Source organism: Homo sapiens, chromosome 14, assembly GCF_000001405.40.
Source record: "Homo sapiens chromosome 14, GRCh38.p14 Primary Assembly".
NCBI classification, from domain to species: Eukaryota; Metazoa; Chordata; class Mammalia; order Primates; family Hominidae; genus Homo; species Homo sapiens.
Window position 1 is genome coordinate 57,562,680 of NC_000014.9, and position 21,849 is coordinate 57,584,528.

General features: G+C 39.3%; 1 protein-coding gene and 2 long non-coding RNA genes across 23 annotated transcripts in view, besides 1 other annotated feature; 2 read left to right on the forward strand and 1 right to left on the reverse strand.

Moving 5' to 3' along the window:
- LOC105370519 (uncharacterized) overlaps nucleotides 1-15,601 on the forward strand; it is an 87,246-nt gene extending 71,645 nt beyond the window's left edge. The window contains exons 3-5 of the long non-coding RNA XR_007064194.1: nucleotides 1,564-3,316; nucleotides 7,135-12,567; nucleotides 13,619-15,601. This is a non-coding gene — a long non-coding RNA (uncharacterized LOC105370519). The remainder of the gene's footprint in view (nucleotides 1-1,563; nucleotides 3,317-7,134; nucleotides 12,568-13,618) is intronic.
- Nucleotides 1,241-21,849, reverse strand: part of SLC35F4 (solute carrier family 35 member F4) — a 419,262-nt gene continuing 398,653 nt past the window's right edge. For 10 of the 21 annotated variants that reach the window (NR_159373.2, XM_011536723.4, NM_001206920.2 and 7 more), the window contains 5 exons: nucleotides 18,535-18,754; nucleotides 9,215-9,340; nucleotides 7,109-7,301; nucleotides 3,796-3,885; nucleotides 1,241-1,697 (listed from right to left, as the gene is read on the reverse strand). Coding sequence is in view for 14 of the 21 variants with exons in the window: in XM_011536723.4 (XP_011535025.1) it covers nucleotides 1,456-1,697; nucleotides 3,796-3,885; nucleotides 7,109-7,301; nucleotides 9,215-9,340; nucleotides 18,535-18,754 (871 nt within the window). In the remaining 7 variants the exon portion in view is untranslated. Of the gene's footprint in view, nucleotides 1,698-3,795; nucleotides 3,886-7,108; nucleotides 7,302-7,857; nucleotides 9,341-16,207; nucleotides 21,841-21,849 lie in introns of those variants that run through there. The other 11 variants (NR_159376.2, NR_159375.2, NR_159374.2 and 8 more) reach the window with 9 other exon arrangements.
- Nucleotides 15,654-21,084, forward strand: SLC35F4-AS1 (SLC35F4 antisense RNA 1). Its single transcript, XR_007064193.1, has 2 exons — nucleotides 15,654-16,326; nucleotides 18,308-21,084. It is a non-coding gene; the product is annotated as an SLC35F4 antisense RNA 1 (long non-coding RNA).
- Nucleotides 18,561-19,760: an enhancer, noted in NCBI's record as "BRD4-independent group 4 enhancer chr14:58047958-58049157 (GRCh37/hg19 assembly coordinates)". NCBI's record gives its function as "activates an origin of replication core promoter dependent on BRD2, P300/CBP, MED14 and CDK7 cofactors, and independent of BRD4, by STARR-seq in HCT116 cells {active_cell/tissue: HCT116}" and the evidence as "EXISTENCE:reporter gene assay evidence [ECO:0000049][PMID:35650434]".

Here is a 21,849-nt window from a genome sequence, read left to right on the forward strand (position 1 = left end):
TCACAAAAGAGATTAGAGAGAGGCAAGGCTAGAAATTAGAGATATCAGTGAAGAAAGTATTGGATTAAGCAGAGCAAGAGATGATGGGGGCCTTGTATGGGTAGAATAGAGAGAAGTATATGGACTCAAGAAATTTTAAGAAATAGAATCAATAGGACATATTAAACAATATGAAACAATATCTAAACAGATGTGGAGGATGAGAAGGCAGAGGTGAGGTTGATCCCTGGCTTAGGCAGCTAGTGAATAATGGTACCGTTAACATAGACAGGGAACAAGGCAGAGGAAAGGAACAGGTCTGGGGAGGACTGATGATAAATTCAACTTTGTTTTTGCTATATTTGAGGTATACAAGGAGGCATCCAAGGGAGCTGCAGAAGACATTTGAATAGTCAGAGCTAAAGCTCAAAGGACAAATCTAGGCTGGAGATTAAAATTTTCATGTCATCACCATGTGGATGACAGTTGAAGCCATGGGAGTGGAGGAGTTCCCCAAGGGAGAGAGTATGGAATGAGATGCTAAGAAGGCCGATGTCTAAACTCAGAGAACCCTGATGGTGATGAGATAAGCCTAGGAAGAAAAGCCAAGGTAAGCAACCAGGGAGGTAGAAATAGAACCAAAAGAAAGTAGTGGGATTCAAGCAAAGAGAGAATATTTAGGAAAAAGGAGTGGTCATCGTGTCAAATGTGTCAGAGGGCACAATAAGATAAGAGTTGAAAGATATCAATATGATTTGCAAGAAAGAGGTTGATCACTGGGGAAAGCACTTCCAGAGAATTGATGAGGGCAGAAGGTGCGTTGCAGTGGGTTGAAGAGTGAATGGGAGTTGAAGTGACGGCAAATATAAACAACTCTTTCAGGATAGCTCATTCCTGTCCATGTCCACTGTGCCGTTTTCAAATGTCTACCTCATAGTAAAGATATTTGTGAACTGTCTTATCCTCCAAACGACTCTAAGCTCATTAAAAGTACAGATGGGGATTCTGTATTTTTACTCCTCATTGTTTCTAGTGTGGGTTTTACATATAGAAAATGCTCTGTTTAAATGTTTAATACATTTCCAGCTTTCAAGTGTGTATTATTTTCACGTGTTATTCTCTTCGACAGCTTTTTTTGATTGAGTAGGAAGAACTCAGTTTCAGTTGAGAAAAAGATAAGTCCATAATTTAATCGACTCTTACAGTTTCCGGAAATTTTGTGAGTTGGGGGAGGGGGAATTTAAAAAAATCAGAAAACAGAACAAGGACAAATGTGTTTTAATAAAAAAATCCATTATGATTATTTACACCAATTCCTTGATAAGCATATAAATGTAAACTTTTATTGTTGGCATTATTTCACATATGATTTATCCAAATTCAGAGTTAATACTGTCGTTTGAGTGTACAGGTAGTGAGAAAATTTTGTTATATTCACAGAATATACATACACGTGCATTCAAAATATGTCCCTCTCTAAGCCAGTGGTATAGACACTGTCCCATTGGCTCTGCCTCTGCCCCGCAGGTGTATGCTGGGATCAGTCACATCATCCACATGCTCCTCACTCTTCTTTTCCTTCAGGCTGTTGATGAACCTCAGGGTGATTTCATCCCATTCCTCAGGCAACAGCATCAGCAGAAACCCAATGCAGATGATGATGGTAGCAGCCAGGCGGACAACATTGAATATCACCTCCTGCTTTAGGAGATCCACAGCTAGGAAAGAAAAATCAAGTCAGTCATTTCCTATGCCTGTTTCTAAGCTTTGAAAACAAGTCACCAAAGTCCATGTTACTTCTAGAGATTTCCAAGAGTCTTCTTTATTCTTCCAAGTTAGTGTTTCCTTTTTCCACATTGCTAGGTTTGCTTTCCACTGCCTGTCTCTAAGTCATGCTTATCCTTCAAGGCTTAGCTTAAATTCCATGTAATCTGACTTAGTTATCTCCCCAGTTTTCTCTCAGTACTTTTCCTCTTTACCCCTTTAACCTTCTCCAGTTTCATTGGACCATTGGAGATTTTTCAAATGAGCCAAACATGTTAGTGTCTAACACTTGTGCAGGCTGTTCTTTTTAAAAATTTAATTGAGGTGAAATTCATGTAATATAAAATTAACCATTTTAAAGTGGACTTAGTGGCACTTAGTATATTCACAATATTATGCAGCCACCACCTCTCTCTGGTCCCCAGATATCTCCATCACTTCAAAATAAAAGCCCATACCCATTAACTCCTCAGCTTCTTATCCCAAATCCCCAGCCCTTAGCAACCACCAATCTGCTTTTTTCCCCCTATAGATTTGCCTATTCTAGTTATTTTATATAAATGGAGTCACATTCTCTGTGTTCTTTCGTGACTGGCTTCTTAGCAAAATATTTTTGAGGTCCATCCATGTTGTAGCACGTGTCAGCACCTCATTCCTTCTTATGGCTGAATAATATTTCACTGCATCATAATTTGGTTATTCATTCAACTCCTGATTCACATTTAGGCTTCTCTACCTTTTTGCTATTGTGAATAGGGCTACTATAAACATTTGCGTATGAGGATATTTTTAATCTCTGTTTTCACTTTTTTGGGGTATACACTCAGGAGTGGAGTTGTTGGTCACACATGTACTGTTCTTTTTAGCATGAGCTACCCTTCACTCCTCATATCTCACTTCATCCAGCTAAACCTCTCCTTAGATCTCTCCCCTTAGGCTTCTTGCAGGAAGCCTTTTGGATGCTCCTCCTATGCGCCCTCGCAGCATTCAGCACATACCTCTATTAAAGCAATTCTATGTTGTAATTACTCAATTTTTTTTCCTTTTGTCTCCCTCTCAATGCTACATGGTCCTGAGGGCAGGGACTGTGCCTTATTCAGGACCTGTCACTAGTGTTAGGACAGTTCCTGGTGTACACTAATTGCTCAGAAATTCTTTGTTGGATGAATGAACGAAACTCCTTGACAACTCCACTCTGATATTTCTTTTCTCTGAATATCTTACAGCCACTGGAGTCTGTCTCACACAATTTGGCATTTAATATTAAATTATTCTGTAGAGTTCCAAGTTGTTTCATGTAGGTTGGCCTTCTTTTACAAATTCAGCCATAAGCATTTTAAGAGAATAATAATGTATTTTTTTCTTTTTTGCTGCCCTGATCACATGATAAATATTCAATAAACATTTGCTGATTGTCGTGGAGGACAGAAAAGTGGCTACTCAAGACTTGAAATTATAAAATTTTAAAGTTAAAAGGACTGTACAATCATCCAGATAATCCATTTGCATTACTTGTTTCACTGGCAGGTTTCTCTAGAAATATCCTGGAAAAATAGCTTCTCTTGTCCCTGAGGTGAGTAAAATTGCTTTTTCCTTATATCTATTCCAGAGGGCCATCTGCTCTGCCCCAGGAGAGCTTTCCGTGGCTCCCCATGGATTGTCTGAGGAGAAGCCAACCTCATGTACATCCTCTGCACTTTCATTAGTGACGGTTACTTGAAAGTCCTATGCTGGGATGCCTTTTGTTTCCATAGGACTTCCTCTAAAAATACCACAAAATTAGGTTGTCAGGGAGATTATATGAAACCCAAATGATACATTTGGTATTTAATTCTAAAAGCACAACCAAGTAAAAACAGTGTTTTTAGCTGCAGATTTTAAATCTGCTGCATAGTTACTCTGTTGTCTGCCACCTTCATGATATTTAAAAACATCTTCCCAGGCAAGGAACATAATTCACAATTTCTAGAAGGAACAACTCAGGACACAGAACAAACACAAGCAAGAGACTTGTAGTGGCCAGGATCTGCACATGTCACATGGTGCCTGTACCTGCATTTCCAGGAACGCTGAGCACTGTCCCAATGGAGATTAGGATTGGGTATGTCAGCACCACCCCAACATTCACCAGGATGTTGAAGGCTGTAAAATAGAGGAGGAAATGCAAGATGAAAGAGAAATAATACGCTGGACTTTTTTCTCCTTATAGTAAATGAATCAATGTCTTTGCTACATGTGCCTTTTAAACTGTCTATACCTTTGATCCTCTAATTTTGGAGATGGATGCATGTGTATTCTACCTGAATTAGTCATTTTCTTCTTTCCTCGTCTGCCACTCTCTTTACCTGAATCTTGCCAATAGACTGGCAAAAGGTATATGGACAAATACAAAGAGGTAAAATAATTGATTCACAGGACTGTTTATTAGCACTATAAAGGTAGATTGGGGCCAGCCAGAGGTTAAAAGCAGGTGATTGATTGAAGATGGTGCCTCATCTCTTTATTGCTGTGCTATTTTGTGCCACATTCATAGACATTAAATGGCTCTAGTGTTACTGCCTAAAGGAAGGTCTATCCAATGATAGCCTATGCTGTTTTATTCCCTCTCTCTGGAGGTCAGCATCATGTGGGCAAACAAGGGTGGGTTTAATGTAATTCACTGAATTCCAGAGACTGTCTCCACATTCTGATTTGTGTACAGATAATCAGAGGGCAGATCCACAGAACCAGCTGAAGGTGTAGCTCCATGCTCTTCAATGAATACCTTTTGGACCTCTTTGGTTAAATATAAAATTAGTTAAAATAATCATTTATCCACTTTAAAACTTATCAAAAACACATTTTCAAAAAGAAAAAAGAATTATAAATTACAAAGCATTATTCTCATAGAGTCTACTCAAATGTTTGTTTCAGGGGATAGAGAGATGAGTGTTAACAATTGTAAAATGTCCTCAATTCAGAGATCTCCATGACAATGAGGCAAGCATGTTGTGTATATCTCTGCAGAACCAAAAAAAGTTCTAGAAGCATTCGAATAAGGATGATGTATGTTCTTCTATTGTCATCTGTAATTCCCGCTTTAAGCCCACTGGGTCACTTTGTGCTTGGTAGTTAGAAACAGTGAGTTTGACTTTTACAAGACTTGGGCTCCTTTATATTGTTCATACAATAGTGGCAAGCAAGGCAGAGGGTCTTCCTAAACTAATAACTGCTCCTCATTCCTGACAAAGCTGCAACATAAATGAATATTCCAGCACTTTGACACTCCCCTCAGACTCAGGGAGTCCAACATCGCAAATTCTGACCAATCAGGAATTTATTAAATACAGCACAGGCTCTGCTGAGCTCCATAGTATGGGGCCTAGCCTGAGTTTAAGTGCAATTCAGACATGCTAGGTGAATGGATGAGGCTGACTTGCATTTGGGCTAACACATTTCCTGAAAGATAGGTCAACCTGAGAGGAGTGAGGCAAAGTAAACATAAGCAAACAAGAAACCATAGCTACAGGAGATGTGGGGTAGTTCAGGGTGCAGATTGATGTGTATCTCTCAGACCTGTGTCTCAGCCAGATCACATCTGATTTCTATGGAGAAGAGAGGGACGGCAATAAACACTTAGGAATAGGAGCACTGAAGACTGTAAGATCCTGGGGTGTGTAACAGGCTGGAGGGAGGCTATCTCCTCGATTGCCACAGCACAACTTTGGCACAGTGAGCTCTCTGCAGTGCACTGGGGTGGGCCTGGTAGAGCAGCTGCAGTGCTGCTTGGCACTGTACCCAGTGGAGTGTGGAGCTCATACTGCTTGGTGGCGAATGCCAGTGTTCAGCTAGCACAGGTGGCGTCCAGCCTCTGCAGGCTTGCTTAGGAGCGCGTATTGGATATGCCAAGGAGTATATGTTGGTGGAGGGCTACTTTGCAGCAGCAAGGTGGAAATCACATGTGCAATGAGGAGGCTAAAGGCCATTGAAATTTTACTTAGGATTGTTCCCATTTATGTTGTTTTTGGCCAGAAAATAATCTAGGTGCTTTTAATGAGGATGTTTTGGTCTTACAGAAATATCACTATTGATTTCTACTCAGCTTAGCAGAGGTTATGAGAGGTGCTAACCATATAATTTTGGCTTTGAAAAGTAGAACTCAAGGGACCAACAATTAATGTTTGATCCTTCTCTTGAGTGTTTTCTGTCGAAGACCTCCCTGAGTCTGAGGGGCTGAGCCAGCATAGAAAAAGATGACCCAATCAATACTCTTGCAGGGATGAAAATAAGAACATTTAGCTCCCAGGAATTGCAGTGCTGCTACTATTTCAAATTATATCACCTCAGTAAAGAAGGTCAGTTGAGGGTTGATGGATGTTCTGCAGGTCGAGCATTGTGGGAAAATGTGGAGTGGGCAGAGGGAGTTGACCTCTGAGTAGCACGTGGAAATAGAAGCGGCATGAAAAGGATTTCTATGGAGAAGAGAGGGATGAGGGATGAGCAACAACATTGGGTTGTTGCTGTTTTTTAACTGCTTGGTGAGAGAAGAGCAGCCTTATTATTTTTCAGGCTCCTCTCACATCAAGTGACAGCAGCACAGCTTAAAAGTCAGATCCTGGAGCTCAGGTGAAGCAGCCAGCCTCAGAGTTATAGGAAGCTGGCAATGAAGACATTACAAGGACTCGAGGTGACTTTTTCTTGGCCATTAACTAGGTACTGTCTACTCAGCCAGGATCACCAAGCCTAGTGCATGCTGCTGTCTCTATATACTGGCAATGTCTTCCTATCACAAATCCATTCTCCATTCTCAGCCAGAGTGAGCTGTTTCATATGCAGATATGAGCCTATCACCAAACTGCTTAAAAATTACTAAGTGGACTTTAAATCCAAACACCTCAAAATGGCTTTCCAGGCTCTTCCCAATCTGCTTCCCTCTTAAATAGCATCTCCCTCCCTCCCTTCCTTCCTTTCTTCCAAACTCAGTGCTCCCACCAGTTTGAACCACTCTGAGTTCTTTGAATGCACCGTCTACTCCCTAACCTCTGCCCAACACAGCATGGCACACATGGAACATTATAACATGATACAGTGTATTAGAAAGAATGAATGAGGCTGAAGAAGAATGGATTGAAGGCCAGTGGTATACAGAGAGGCCTGGGCCTCCAGTGCACACCTTAACTCATGGGAGGCATACTAGTTGGATAGCTTGAACCTAATCAACCAGTAGCTTGCAAAGAACCTTCTAAACATGACCAACGACATTGAACAACATAAGTTTGGGAACTAGAGCACAGAGTTACCCAAGGAAATAATCCTATGATGATAATCTAACTAGCCAAAGAAAGATTGATATAGGGAATGGAAGGCAAAACCCGAGGCCACTTACCCAGCCACAGCCCTGCCATCCCACAGAGACAGCCCCATGGCAGAGCAGCAAAAGAGGACCAGTGCTCCACCTTGGTGAAATACAAGATGACTGGGGTGAAGGAGATGAAGATCAAATTGAAGAAACCCAAGGTGGAGACAAAGTGTGCAGCTTCCCCAAAGTTGGCACTTCCAAGAAACATTTTAAACAAGACCTGGAATGAGAAAGAAACTCTACAGCCACACAGAAACTTAGCCAGAGCAGAAACGTAAGTCTTACTGTTCCATACTGTGAGCTAACTGGCCCAGAGTTTATTCTCCATTTCTTCTTGCCCTGACATCTTCACAGCACTAGATGGGCTGTTGAGATAAGGAATTAAAATACTCCATAGCCTTCATATGAAATAGCAAATGTCATAAAATGAATTTCTTATGGTGCTGAAAACTGCTGGGTAGTGTACATTGTGTTTAGTGCCACCATCAGTGATGGGTATTGGGTGAATGATAAATAAGAGTCCAGACAAGCCCAGAAAAATCTTCTAGGATTGACTGGCCATTAATCCTTAACTTAAAGCATGGGATTTGTTTTATCCTTATTTTGATAGATACTGAAAACTAAATTGGACAGAGAGACCCTGTCATTATGTTGTTGAGAGAAATAGTATTTTTGCCTTGGATTTATAAGCAGTTTTCTTTGTGAGCTCAAAATGACTTCACAAATATGGTGCTTGTTCCCCAGATTAAAAAGCAGTTTTTATATATTATAAACCTGTGTGCAGAGGAAGATGGCAAGGAGAAGCAAATGGCTAACATAAAATCACACAACAGATTACAGAGAAAGCCAGGGGTATAGTCCATATTTCTTAGCTTCTTAAGCCCACCACTCCCTATACTAATCCTGTAACAACACAGAGTGAAGCAGATCTCTTCTGCCTGGAATTATATTATGCTGCAGATATGATTTGGTGCATGTCAGAATGAATACATTCTGTAACCTGGTCAGGGGAAATCCCTCTGTAAGAGTGCCATTCTGGTCATATAGCAATCCCAGGTACTGCTTCTAATTTCAACTGAACTAATTTTTTTTTTCTGTTGAAAGACTTAATCAAAAGAATTTGAGCACGTGGTAGTCTTTGGTCACATCAGACATCTTGGTGGATCTCAGTTGGGGAGCAAGTTAGACAGTAATGGCCATTGAGTGAACATTTGTCAAGCTTGTCACACAGAATCAATGGGCCAAGAAATGTCAATATGGAAATAGACTTCATGCCCTCTGAGACACAGTGTTGGTTAATAATCAGAACAGGCTTCCAGGAGGGACGAAAAGGGTATTTTCGGCCTTTCAGAGTGTGTTTTCTCATTGAAACACCAAGAGAGGTGAAATTGGAACAGTTCTTTAATACATCCAGAAAGTTGACTTTAAAAGTAGAGCTTTGGGGAATAACTTTTTAGATCTGCTCTCTTAGTGCTCACTTCTGAAGTCAGGTGCAATGACTCCGAATAGAATTTTCTTTGATGACAGGGAACTCCAGTGGAGAAAAAAATGGTGGGTACCTACAGCAGACGTAGAGCATCCATCAGAGAGAAAAAGAGCTTCTTCATTTTGCTAGTAACACGAGCTCCTGTGGCATGGGGTTAATATGTGCCAAACAGCTCTCTAGTGACAGCTTATTTCTAACACCTCTTTTGAGTTAAAATAATGACCATAGATAATTAAATTAAAAAACACAGGGAGAGAAGATGCCTTTCTAATGTTCCTGCTATAACTGCCTGATAAATGAGGGATTAGGGCATAGCACATGGGCTTAGAAGTTGGCTAGTCCAGAGTTTAAGTCTTGGCTCTATCACTATTTGGCTCTATGATTTGGGGCAAGTTATGTAATCTTTCAAAGCCTCAGTTTCCTCATCTGGAAAGTGGAAATAAGTATTTATGCCTCATAAGGTTGTATTAACACAGGCAAAAATTTTCAGGCAGGTACCCATCACATAACAAGTAGTTAATTTACTTACTATTATTTCAACACATCTATTTTCTTTCTAATCAATGATTACATCGTACTTTCTTACTTTAGTACTCAAGTCTAAGTTATGAGTGACAGTTGCTTACAAAAGAAAGTGCACAACATACCTTATATAATGCAGATGTAGAGGCTGAGCCCACCGCAAATGCCACTCCTATGATGGAATCAGCGTGGAAATTATCTGCATATGCCATCATGACAATGCCGGTAATTGCCATTATTGCAGCAACTATCTGTCAAATAGGATGCAAAGAAACAGAAAAGCAATGATCCCTCTGTATCCTAGAGCAGGCAATTCAAGACTTCCTGAAAGCTGCTAAGTACTTCCTTAAACCTAATTACCTTTTGTACATCACTTTAAATGTAGGAAGGCTCAGTATTAGAAATAAATCAATATGTTCATGAGATATCCAGGCACAGAATATAAAAGCTGTTCACATTCTAATTAAAGACTAGTAATTTTATTATTTTTAATATATTTTTACTTTTTTAGGCCTAATAATTTTAATTTTTTAGCTCAAGCTTTCTAGGGACTAACATTTGTACTGGTGAAATAAATTTAATAGGAAGTCACTTCTAAGCGTTTTCATCTCTTCTGTATTTCATCTATTCTTTTTCCTCCAATTCAGCATACATTTTAATCAGCTCCTTGGCTCAAGGTATGTTTCTGAAGATCTCCATCTAATCAGGACCTGATTAGAGAAGCATGATATTGATACAGCTAAGAGGCAAACTTCAGGCCAATGGGAAAAAAGAAAGAAAATAAATTCTCATAGAGATGTATAAAGGAGCAAGCTGAGTCTGCACTGTCACTTGGAATGTCAAATGGAAGCCAGTACTTCCTTTTGTTCACATGAAAATTAATTCAGTTTTTCAGAAAAACCACTGAAAGATAATTTCATTTAATTACTCTAGAGCATTAACTGCATAAAGTGAAATATTCATAATTCAACTGAAGTCATCATTGTTCACTGTAAATTGATGATTCTAGCTATATTCAAAACAGGAGTCTACTCCCTTAGTGAATTGCTGCTTTGTGTCATCTCTTTATCTTGAACTAGTTCTACTGGAAAGCAGTTCAGAGCTATAGCAAACAGTAAAATGATGCTGGAACAGGTGACAATATGTCATTTCCTTGTGAAATGGTTTCACTGACTTTAAAATCCAGATGAAAATTGGTGAGAAATTTAAACCTACATGGTGATTAATTTTGTTAAGCTTCAGTTCTGAGTATTCCCAAGTAAAGAAATTCTTCAGTTCTGAGTATTCCCAGTAAAGAAATTCCCAAGTAAAGATAGCTTTTTAACATATGTGATTTTCGGGGGCCCTTTTGAACACTATTAGTGAATTGTTTTTTATAACGTAGATTTTTAACATGTAATTACTGACTCGCTTGAGGCCACTGCAAAGTATGTTCCCAATTACATAGAATTCAGACGCTGCTAAAGCATGTCTTTTGTTAGTGGCCACCAAAAGCAAGGGCCCACTTGGTTTCAGAGTAGCTCCATATTAAAGTGTCCTTAATGAAAAACAGCAGGAGTACTTGAGAATAGACATAGACATGTCAGCAGTGAAAAACCATCTTCATTAAACATTATCCAGGAGGCTGCTTGATGGGAGGTGGTTTTCTTGCTGAGTGAATATCATATTCTCTGAAGCTGCCGGGTGTGTGTTCTGGTTAGACTTGGCCTTAAACTATAAGGAATAGAATTTAAGAATTTAGGTGTCAAGGAGATTTCTAAATAATAAGTAATAGACTCATCAATAAACACAGTGAGGGGGTTATCTAGACCTGGATAAAGGTCTAGACTCATCAATACACACAGTGAGGGGGTTATCTAGACCTGGAAATTCTATGAGGGTTATCATTTTCCTTGATTTGGGGATTTGCAACAGTTCTTTGGGGGATCTGATTTCAGGGAAATAAAAAAGGCACATTAGATATTGGCATATCCTGATTTGGTTTTGTGTTTAAATGATGTTCACTGGTTAGTGTTCATGTGCACAAATAGATTTCCTTCATAAGACTGAACTGACGGGATAATACATTTGAGTTAACGTTTGTTTTCTTTTAGCTAAGCATTGCATTTTCTAGGTCAAATAAACAAGCGGTTACTTGAAGCCAAGGCTAACAAAACTGTAAATCCTAACGAACTTTCACATGATGTGCTATTTTATATTTTAAATTATTAAAAGCATTCTATAATACATAATACATGGGTTTAGGCAATTACACACTGTAGTATGTAATTCTGGGTTTAGAAAATTGTGAAAACCAATTAAAAAACCCCAAAGCACAAAACAAAATCCTGTCTAGAAAAGGACAGGCAGTTGGTTTCATTATCCCCAAGATATGACCACAGGTAGGAACTCTTCCTTTTCTGAGTTAGCTACTAGTAAAAATAGATATGCATAAAGTTTCTATTATGTTTCCTCAAGATAGGAATTGAACATGGGTAAAGATTACATAACTCTGTAGCAATTCAAAATTATAACCATAGTGAGCCTCTTAAAGATCTTCATTACTCGTTATATTCAAGTGCTTGTGAAAATATTAGCCTGGACCACTTAAATTGACATGTCAATTACAGCAGTGTCTCTTTCAATTGCCTTCACAGAGAGAAGCATTTTTCACTTTAGGGGGTCAGACAATGCTGTTAAGTTCTGAAAGAATGAAAATCTGAATATTTGAAATGTTAGAAAAATTCTCCATGACATGAGCAGTAATTCATAAGTTATATAGTATGTTCCTGGGGCAGGGTGCGGGTGGAGGGTATAGTGGGAATAGATAAATTATTTGCCACATTTTAGTTTAAATTTCAAAAATATCTGATAGGTCAAATTCTCTATGGCTATATTTTAAGAAATTTTAAATATATTTCTTATCTATACTGTTGTAAGTGAAGGAAGAGATCTCAACTAATCTTGAAAATGAGGAAAAATTGTGGAGTGGTTGTTTGGGTGATCTCAGAATGGCTCTGCTTGGCACCACTGGTTTAACTTTAGAGAGTAAATACTCTTTAGATGTCTGGAGAACAAATATCCTAAGCACGTATCAGTCACACACATTTTCAGAATCAATCAGTCATCAAAGAGGGATTAATACTCTGTTCTTCTCAACAGAAAAACACAAAACGACTCTTCTTGGCCTCAGCTTTCTGGAAATGTGTCTGCAGGAAGCCAGTGCCTAAAATATTGTGTCAAAAATGCTCATATGTGTTCATTCACATGAAGACAACCACTAAAGTGCTCCTGGGACACATTAACATCCATGAGAGGAATTCTTCTGCTGAAAATACACCATCTAGTGGTGCCACCTGCTCGGCTTCTGAAAAATCTGTCTCTTGACAATCTATTCCAGTTCCAGCCTCTTAACCAACCAGAAGTGTCTAAATAAGATGGAAAACTAGGCCAGGCACAGTGGCTCACGCCTGTAATTCCAGCACTTTGGGAGGCCCAGGTGGGTGGATCACTTGAGGTCAGGAGTTCGAGACCAGCCTGGCCAACCATGGCGAGACCCCCATCTCTACTAAAAATATAAAAAGTAGCCGTGCTTTGGTGGCACATGCCTGTAATACCGGCTACTCGGGAGGTTGAGGCAGGAGAATCTCTTGAATCTGGGAGGTGAAGGTTGCAGTGAGCTGAGATCACATCACTGCACTCCAGCCTGGGCAACAGAATTAGACCCTGTCTCAAAAACAAACAAAAAAGATGGGGAAAAAAAAAACTCACCATTACCATTATCTGAACCTGGCTTAGGTGAGAATGTTAGTAACCATAGTGACCATAAAACTGCCAATGCCTCCATTTAAAATGTTTAAACCTCTCTGCCCTCACACATTGTGGTGTGCCCACCTGGGGTGAGTCATTGAAGGAAGAGGATTTATTTAGCCCATTATCTCAGCATGCCAGTTGAGTGGCATGGCCTCGTGAGCCAGCTATCTTCCTCTGCAGGCTGGGGCCCTCAGACAGCTCTCTGCACTAATTTTCAGAGCCAATCAGAAGGGATCCGTGTGGCCATTTGAGCCTGTTCCTAAAGCCCAAAGAGGGCTTTACCAGTGGACATTTGGTGATCTCACTGTACTAAATGCTACCTGTGACCCTGCATGGAGGGTGTTTCTTTTATCTTTCAAATAATTAGTTTGTACAGATAAAGCCTAAAGAAATATCTGGCTTTTGGCCGTTTTTGTTTTCTTGTATCTTTTTTTTTTCTTTTTTCTTTTTCTCTTTTGGCTCGGGCCATCAAAAGCCCACAAAGGTTTGGTCCTTCTGTGCATCTCCATGAGGGTTTATCAACCTGATCCCATTCACTATGGTTCCCACTCACAGATGGTTTTCACAATTCTTATTTGCATAACAGTACCAGCTCTTTTAGGGTCCAAGGCATTGGATGAACCTTTAGTTGCTTCTCTTCCTACAGTGTTCCTTTAAGATTTTAAAGGTCAAGATGACTGATTATAATCCAAACATGTTTCCTTACTTTGCCTTGAGGCTAATTCTGTTTCTTGAAGCTAGGTGAGTATGAAGCAGCTGGTTCACAAATGAACCCTTGAATTCCAAAGCCTACAGCAGCCCCTAAAAATGCAGATCTCAGACCACACTGCTGGCAGCTGCTGTGCTCAAGTTGAAGACTAAAGGTCAGTAGTTGAGGTTGGGACACACATTAATAGTTTGACGAATGAGAAACATGCTAATGATTATCTCTCTGGGTAAATTTAGATACAGTTGATTTTCAAGGAACTATGGCTATACAGAATCCTTAAACTTCTGCATATGTTATATTTAAGGTTCTATGGAAAACTTTCTTTTTTACTCAGATTCAATTAAACTGAACAAGTGCTGAAATGTGAAAAATAAGAGGTGTGGCAATCTATAGCTGTCCAGATGCTGTGTGTGACAGGGGGAAGGGGGGTACCTTGGATAGCAGCAAACCCAAGGGATGCTGGGCCTCTGAACTCCCCCTCTCCCTACATGCATGGATTTTTATCTGAATAAAATCCATTTGAAAATGATCTCAGAGGGAGACCTGGATGTCAAAGTTGTAAAGAAATCCCACGAAGAAAGAGTGAAGGATATATGTGGAGGGTAGACACATTGACTGCACCATGTTGAAGGGGTTACAGATTCCTTGAGGGTGTAAAATCGGACAGCCAGCACAACCCAGCTGTCTCCTCTCTTGGCTATATTCATAAGTCATTGTCCTGCCAAGATAGGGGTAAGAGGGAGGATGACTCCCACTGTCCATCCTCCACTGCCTCTTCCAGGAAGCATGGAAGCTCTGGGCAGAGAATTCTGCATTGCACATGAATAAAGAGGAGCCAAAGGCAAGATGGAAACAAATTGTCAAGTTACGTGTCATCTTAATTCTTAATATTTAATATCAGCATAAATCAGTAGCAGCTCAGCTCCAATGTACTGTTTTAGCCTTCAGGGGCCCAATTTGAATTCAAAGAAGTATATGCTATACCATGAAAGATTCAGTTTAACTGATGTACTTCAGTCAGTTTTTGGTAGATCCTGGAAAGTCTTTGAAAACAGCTATAGTTTGGGAAGCTAACTAACTGCACAGGGACCCAAATATAGCTGGAAAATATGTGGCTCCCAAGCCAGAGGGACACTAATGCATTTCACAGTCTGCTAAGACAGTTGGGATCTGCTGAACCATCCACCAACCACCAACATTCTCCATATCTTCAAGGAAATTGGAAAATATAAGAAAAATTTGAATGAATAGTATAAAAAAATAAGAGAGGGACAAAATCTGAAAGAAAGTTTCTACCATTCTAGTCTGGCATCTACTTTTCATTGGTGTAAAACAGATACCAACAGCAGAGAAGAAAGCTCCCAGCCAGTGGCACATTCCCCTTGGGAAGAACCTTTTTTTAAAAAAAAAAAAATTAAGGTGGGTTCTCTGGTTCTTACGAATTTAAGAACTCTAGCTAAACATAATAAGGTCTGAGAGACAGGAGAACACCTATTTTCAAGGCTGCAAGAGCTGGATTATCACTTTCTAACATTTTTGCAATCAAAAAATTATCTTTTAAAGAAGTTTACTAATTTTCATGGGATGATCACAGATTAGCTGCAAGCAATTTGCTCATGAAAGGGCTTTTTATAACACATCATAGATTACCAATAAATGGGCTGAAATGACTTCATACTAAATGTAAAACAGATTACCTTTCCATCTGTAATTCAGTGTTCAAAAGAAACAAAATATTAGCAAGTTATTCATAATACATAATTCATTTTTATGTGAGCATTAGTAATTCTGGCCTACTTGTGGTCCGGATAAACCCATATTTATGATGTTGTAACTTAAAGTGTCTTTCACTCTGTTCATGGTGTTCTTTTTACATTAAAAAAAAAAATTAGAAGTAGGGAAGGCCATAGCTTCTCATTTTAAATGTGCTCATTCCTGGGGAGCTAAGCATATGAAAATTATAATCCAACAAACATCTGTTTCTAAACTACTGATGCTTTAGCATGAACTAGAAATATAAATTTTAATCTGATGACTGAAAGCATCCCTTTAACTGTTTTTTTTTTTTTTTTTTTTTTTTTTTTTTTTTTTTTTGAGTAGTCCAGTGGGATGACATCTGGAGGGGCTATGCTTTAGATTATTTATAGATGTGGGCAATAAGAGCTACATTTATGTTGTCAGTGCTGTTTGCCCTCGTTTAATTTCTCAAATGACCTAATTATATGTGTTCTCAATATGTCTTGGGAGGAAAATAATTGCTGATACTGTCAAAGGCAAAATGCTGAATATGTTTCAGTGCTTCTCACATTCCATGGCCTGATTATGGGCATCATTAAATTACACGTTACCATTCTTCCGGAACATCGCATTGAACATGTCCTAATGTTTCACAATGAGAAGTGAAGCACTTCCTCTTACTTAAAAAGAAAAATATTTGATTTTTACAGGATGCCTGACACTAATGCTTACTATTCTGCTATCTATGATGTCTTCACTTATGGATATATTTATTAACAAGTACTTATTAGCTATTTAACATTTCCTCTACTGAGTGTTATTAATTACAGATGCTGTATTAGTTTCCTAAGGCTGCTGTAACAAATTACCACAAACGTGGTGACTTAAAACAACAGAAATTTATTCTCTCACGGTTCTGGAGGCCAGAAGTTCAAAATACAGCTGGGACCAAAGGCATCTCTAAGGAAGGATACAGTCCTTGCCTCTTCCAGGGTTCTGGTGAGTGTCCCGGCATTCCTGGCTGGTGACCACATCACTCCAATCTCTGTGTCTGTGATCACATTGCCGCCACCTCCTCTTCTGTGTGTGTCTCTTTTGTGAGTCTTTCATAAGGACACTTGTTATTGGATTTAGGTCCCACTCAGATAATCCAATATGATGTCCCCTTTTCAAGATCCTTAAGTTAATAATATCTGCAAGGACCCTTTATCCAAATAAGGTCACAGTGACAGATTTGGGGGATTAAGATGTGGACAGATCTTTTTTGGAGTCACCACTCAACCCACTGCAGATGGCAAATTTTAAATGGCAATGGTTGGTAGCCTATAGGCAGATTTTTGATTTTTAAAATCTGCTATTTAAAGATAAGTTACACAGTTGTTTTCTTTTTCTCTAAAATACCTCAAATAAACACTGTACCTTTTTGGACGTAACCTCTTGCATCAGTGAGGTCCATGAGTTAAATGTGCTCATTTGCTTTAATACAACGGATTTTATTGCTGGTATATCTAATGGTGAAAATATGGATTTAATGTTGGTATTTGCACGCCACTAAAAGAACAAAAGAGCCTCCAAATCTCTCTTCTCCCCTCTTCTGACAAGGCTCTCCAGGTTCTTATGGGTGGTCCATGATAGTGAAAGACAGTGAAAAGAAAGATCTCAGAAGTATGAACTCATTTACTATATCCTCAAATATCAATCGAACCCCCACTTCGTGCCCTGTAATATTCTAGACATTGGAAGTAGAGACAGCTGACTTCCTAGGGGATGACTTATGTTGATATATAGGGCCTTGTGCTTGGAAGGTCCCCACCCTTGGCTCAGTGCTCTGTTGTTGTTATCTTAAAATTATTAATATTCATTTTGCACTGGGCCCCATGGATTATGTAGCAGATCTTGAAAAGAACAGTGGACAATATAGGAAAGCTTCCAGCTCTCAAGGACTTGTCAGGGTATCTGATGGTAGACAGCCAGCACCAGTGCCCCAGACATAAATATGTGATGCTGAGCCCTTTGGGGTCAAATCTAAGATAAGCCAGTAAAGAATGTAGTGTCACATTTGGATATACTGTAATGGTATCATGGACTGACTCACAGTTTCTGATTTTGTCTTCTATCAAAACTTTCTACTTATTAATATGAAGCTTCATTTCTAAATTTCAGAGCAGCATCTCCCAAGATACAATCAGAATTGTCTAACTAACTGTTTTCTTAAGAAAATCTTTCAGGGTTAATGACCATCATAAACCCTCTCTCTAACATAGACATTAGTTTCAGCATTTGGGAGGGGGAAAGGACCTTGGAATCATTGCCAATAAGAGCAATGTTTTTATAACAAAATATGTTTCAAATTCTATCTATCTTGGACATCTCTTTCAGAGAAGATAAGTTGTGTAATATTGATACTCTGAGAAAAGGCAATTCATTTATACCTCCTTCTAAAGAAGTGTTGTCTCAATATGTTCATCATAGTGGCATGCCGGATTATATGAATGAGATCTGGCTCCTTAAATCTTCAGGGCTTCCCAGCAATCTATTTTTAACATAGAACAAGCATATAAATATATATGTTTTTAATCCATATTACTCCTGAAAGGAATAAACTCAGAACTGAAGTTGTTGGTGGAAGTTTAATGCAGTTCAATTAAGGATTTGTATCCAAAAGAAGTTGTTGCTTGTACTTCCATTTCTGCATTAGTCACACTAGATATATAGTCACTTTTAACAGCATTGTGCCATTACCAGTGACTTTAATTACTGTTTGGTAATCTTATCTACTTACACCAATATTAATTAAGTCCATCTGGTGGGGGGAATGGGGGGTCATCTCAACATATGTTGATTGAAAAATGCAAACCATAATCTTTATAGTGGCTAATTTTCTCAGACCCTTCGTTCCTGAGGACAGAAGGAGGTGAACACACCATTAGTTCTAAAAATTAATTCTAATATAGGAACTTGTTTTCTCTGCCTGTTTTAGTGCCTCCTGTTGGAATGAGCTCACTAACCAGTGGAAACAAACTGTTTATCCTTCTATGATGTTGCAACTGCCTGGGCTTTCTAATGCGTCTTCAGATTTCGGTTTGTACTCAGAACAAGTGAGAAAAGTTTTACAGCAACTCCACGAAACAAAGCAGACAGGCTCTCCTGAAGCCAAGGAGTTATGAAAAAGGCAGGCATCGCGCATTGAATCAAGTATGCCATTACCCTCACTCCCATGAACCTGTCTTTCAGCACAATCCATGACAGCAAGAAGACAAAGGCTTTGTTACAACAGAACAGAGCGGAGACATCCGTGGCCGTCAGCTTCTTTAAAGCCAGTAAATAAAGGTAATTAGTCAAAGTCCATAGAATAGAAAAGGGAGCAGTTCTTTTAAGAAAGAGTTTCAGCGTCAGACCATCTTCACCAAAAATCCGACTGCATTCCCTAGGAAAGAAAAGAGAAGTTAATATCCAGGTACTGATGGTGACACCTCTTGTCTTATCTGACTCATCGCAGCCATTTTCAGGTAAGAGCACAAACACTCAATACCCATCCTTCATTGTGAAGTATACTGAACCCAGTTCTGAAATCTGCGGGCTTCAGGGAGTGTATGAGGTTCCTTGGAAAATAGCCCACATGTGCCCAAGCACAGAGTTAGGCTCTCTTCTCTGAGATAGTCTCTGGAGGTTGCCTGAAAAGCCATTCTGTCGTTTTTGAGCATTCTCAGAAGAGCCTGCAGAAATACCGAAATTGGTAGTTGCTGAAATCACTAGCTATTGGAAGAGGGTGGGCAAACGAGAGAGGGTCAAGGCTGCTACTACTCTGTGAACGGGCTACAGACAACTCCTAGAACCCGGAGGGAAAGGGACCCTCATACATCTGTGCAGCACACATGTTTTTGGATTTTATTTCTAAGACACTAAGCCACTTTCTAATATATCTGCCCAATTGACTAATTTTTTTTCCTGCCAGCATTTTTAAGGCAGAAAAATGAAGTCCCTGTGATAACTCCCACATGATAAAAACTATAATAGAAAACTCAGGTTGTACTTATATACAAACATTTGGCCCTTTTGGAGGAATTGTCTAAATTCGGTGTGAGAAAATGGTCACTTCAATTGTTAAATCTTCGGTTTGTTTGATTTTTCAAGGAAGTTGGCTACATTTAGCCCCAGGGGCCATTTTTTTCCTTTAAGTCCTAGGCCTAAACATGATTTTTTTTTTCCCCCTAGGTCTGGCTCTCTTACCCAGGCTGGAATGCGGTAGCATGATCTTGGCTCACTGCAACCTCCGCCTCCCAGACTCGAGCCATCCTCACACCTCAGCCTCCTGAGTAGCTGGGACTACAGGCACGCACCACCATGCCAGGCTAGTTTTTGAAATTTTTTTGTAGAGACAGACAGGATTTCACTCTGTTGCCTAGGCTGGTCTCAAACTCTTAAGCTCAGGTGATCTGCTCACCTTGGCCTCCCAAAGTGCTGAGATTACAGGCAAGAGCCACTGCACCTGGCTCTGAGGGGCCATTTTAATAAAAATGTTCAAGCTAGCAATACATACAGGCAATAATGGAAGTGATACAATGACTGTACCTATACGACTATGGACTGAAGACAGACTTACCACTGGGAGAATTTTAATTTTTTTCCCACTCGATTGTTCATGAACATTCAAGTATTTATGGGGTAACTGTCATGCTCCAGGCATTGTATTTTCATGAGTAGTATATGTTTATAATGAAATCTATTTACAGGACTCTAGTACTAGTTTCTTTTCCAGTTTTAACTGAAATTAGTGTGCCTCAAAGTATTGCAAATCAAAGTAAATTCTAGCCAATGTTTGCCTCACATGAATAACCCCAAAAAAGGACCACGTGGAGAGGAGGAGTGACAAAGAATTAGGCACAGGGAGTATAGCCTTAAAGATTAAGTTTCATAGTAAATGTGACTTTCAACTGGATGAGAATGTTGGGAGTTGCAGGTCACCGGTTCCAGGAAGGTTAAAGACATGTGTTGCACACACAGAAACTTGTATTGAAATTTGTTTACTTTCATGTAAGGAGGCTTCCAAAAAGGAAGGATTTTTGTAAAATGAAAGTAAGATTTCCCAAAGATAAATTTTAACTTTAAAGCCTTCTGTAATGTAAACAGAAATTACACACGCTCACATACACAGGAAAGTGAACAGTCTCTTTGAAGCCCCACAGCCAATGGGATATTCTGAATTAGCACCATACATAGAACCAGAGGAAGTTTTCATAGAGCATCCTGGGCACAAAGTTCATTTTCTGTACTTATAAGGCGATCTGCTCCGTGAGAAAGCTGCCGTGTAGAGCTGGAGTTGAGAGTCGTGGGTTTATCCCATCATTTACAACTACTGATTGCCTTTTAAAATATGAACACATTTATTAAGAACCACAACAAAACCCATTCCTGATTAAAGGATATCTTTTTCTTATCACTGGCCCTAGCCAGTGATTGTTCTTCAACCAAGAGCTGGGAGGAGTGCTCCTAAGCAAAGATTTTGGATGCAGGAAAGGAACACTCCAATCCCACAGGGAAGACCAACAGATGTGTATTCCAGACAGACAGAGCCTCACTGGCAGAGCAGCTGGGAAGACGCTGCTGACTGACAGGTGGAGACTGTTCTCACCTGGCTCAACCTGTCTTCCAGGTGTTCATTCCCTCGTTCTTCCCCTTTCTTTCCCCTTCTCTCACTGCCGACCTTCTCCCCTTTGTTACTGTTGTTGTAGAAATTAAAAATGCTCTCCATCTAAATGCCAGGTCACTTGTGTAAAATCCCATACTATTTAAGCATTAAACTCTAAGAAACATGAAAACTGAAAAAAAAATATGGATTTTTATGGAGAAGCGAATAACAGTGGGTTTCTCTTTGGGATGATGAGATCAGACTTTCTGGGCAAGTGGCATTGACAGGTGGTATAGCTTGAAATGAAGCATAGAAGTTGGAGGACACTAATAATTTAGTTATGCTTATTATTAAAACAGCAGCCACTAGTTGTTGAACCCTGTCTATATGTTAAATAGCATCTTAAGCATATTTTATAGTAAGCATATTTTATAGGTGCCTGACATAGGCAAATATGTCTTTGGCTCCAGTTTGATGCTATCTAAGATTTTTCCCCTAAGAAAACGTCCTTGTTAATAATATGGTATATATTTTTTTCTTCCTAAATTTCAAATTCACTTGAGGCAATTGAATTCTCTTGTAGTATATAAATGATTATAAAAAACTACTTCTAAATACAGTCCTTACCATCTAGATTTGATACTTCATTGAAAATTATTTTGATATTACTGATAAAAAAATACTGGAAATGCTTTCATACCATTCTAGAGAAAATAGATTCTGGTGCTATGGGACAAATTCTATTTCCAGTCTTACACACTAACTCTATTCTTCCCTTGTTCAGTCATGAGAGCTTCGGGAGTAACTTCTGGAGTAACTTCTTGGCAGATGGTATTAATGAGTCTACAGGGAAAAAAAGATCGAGAATCTAAGAATTGTCTGACAATTTTACC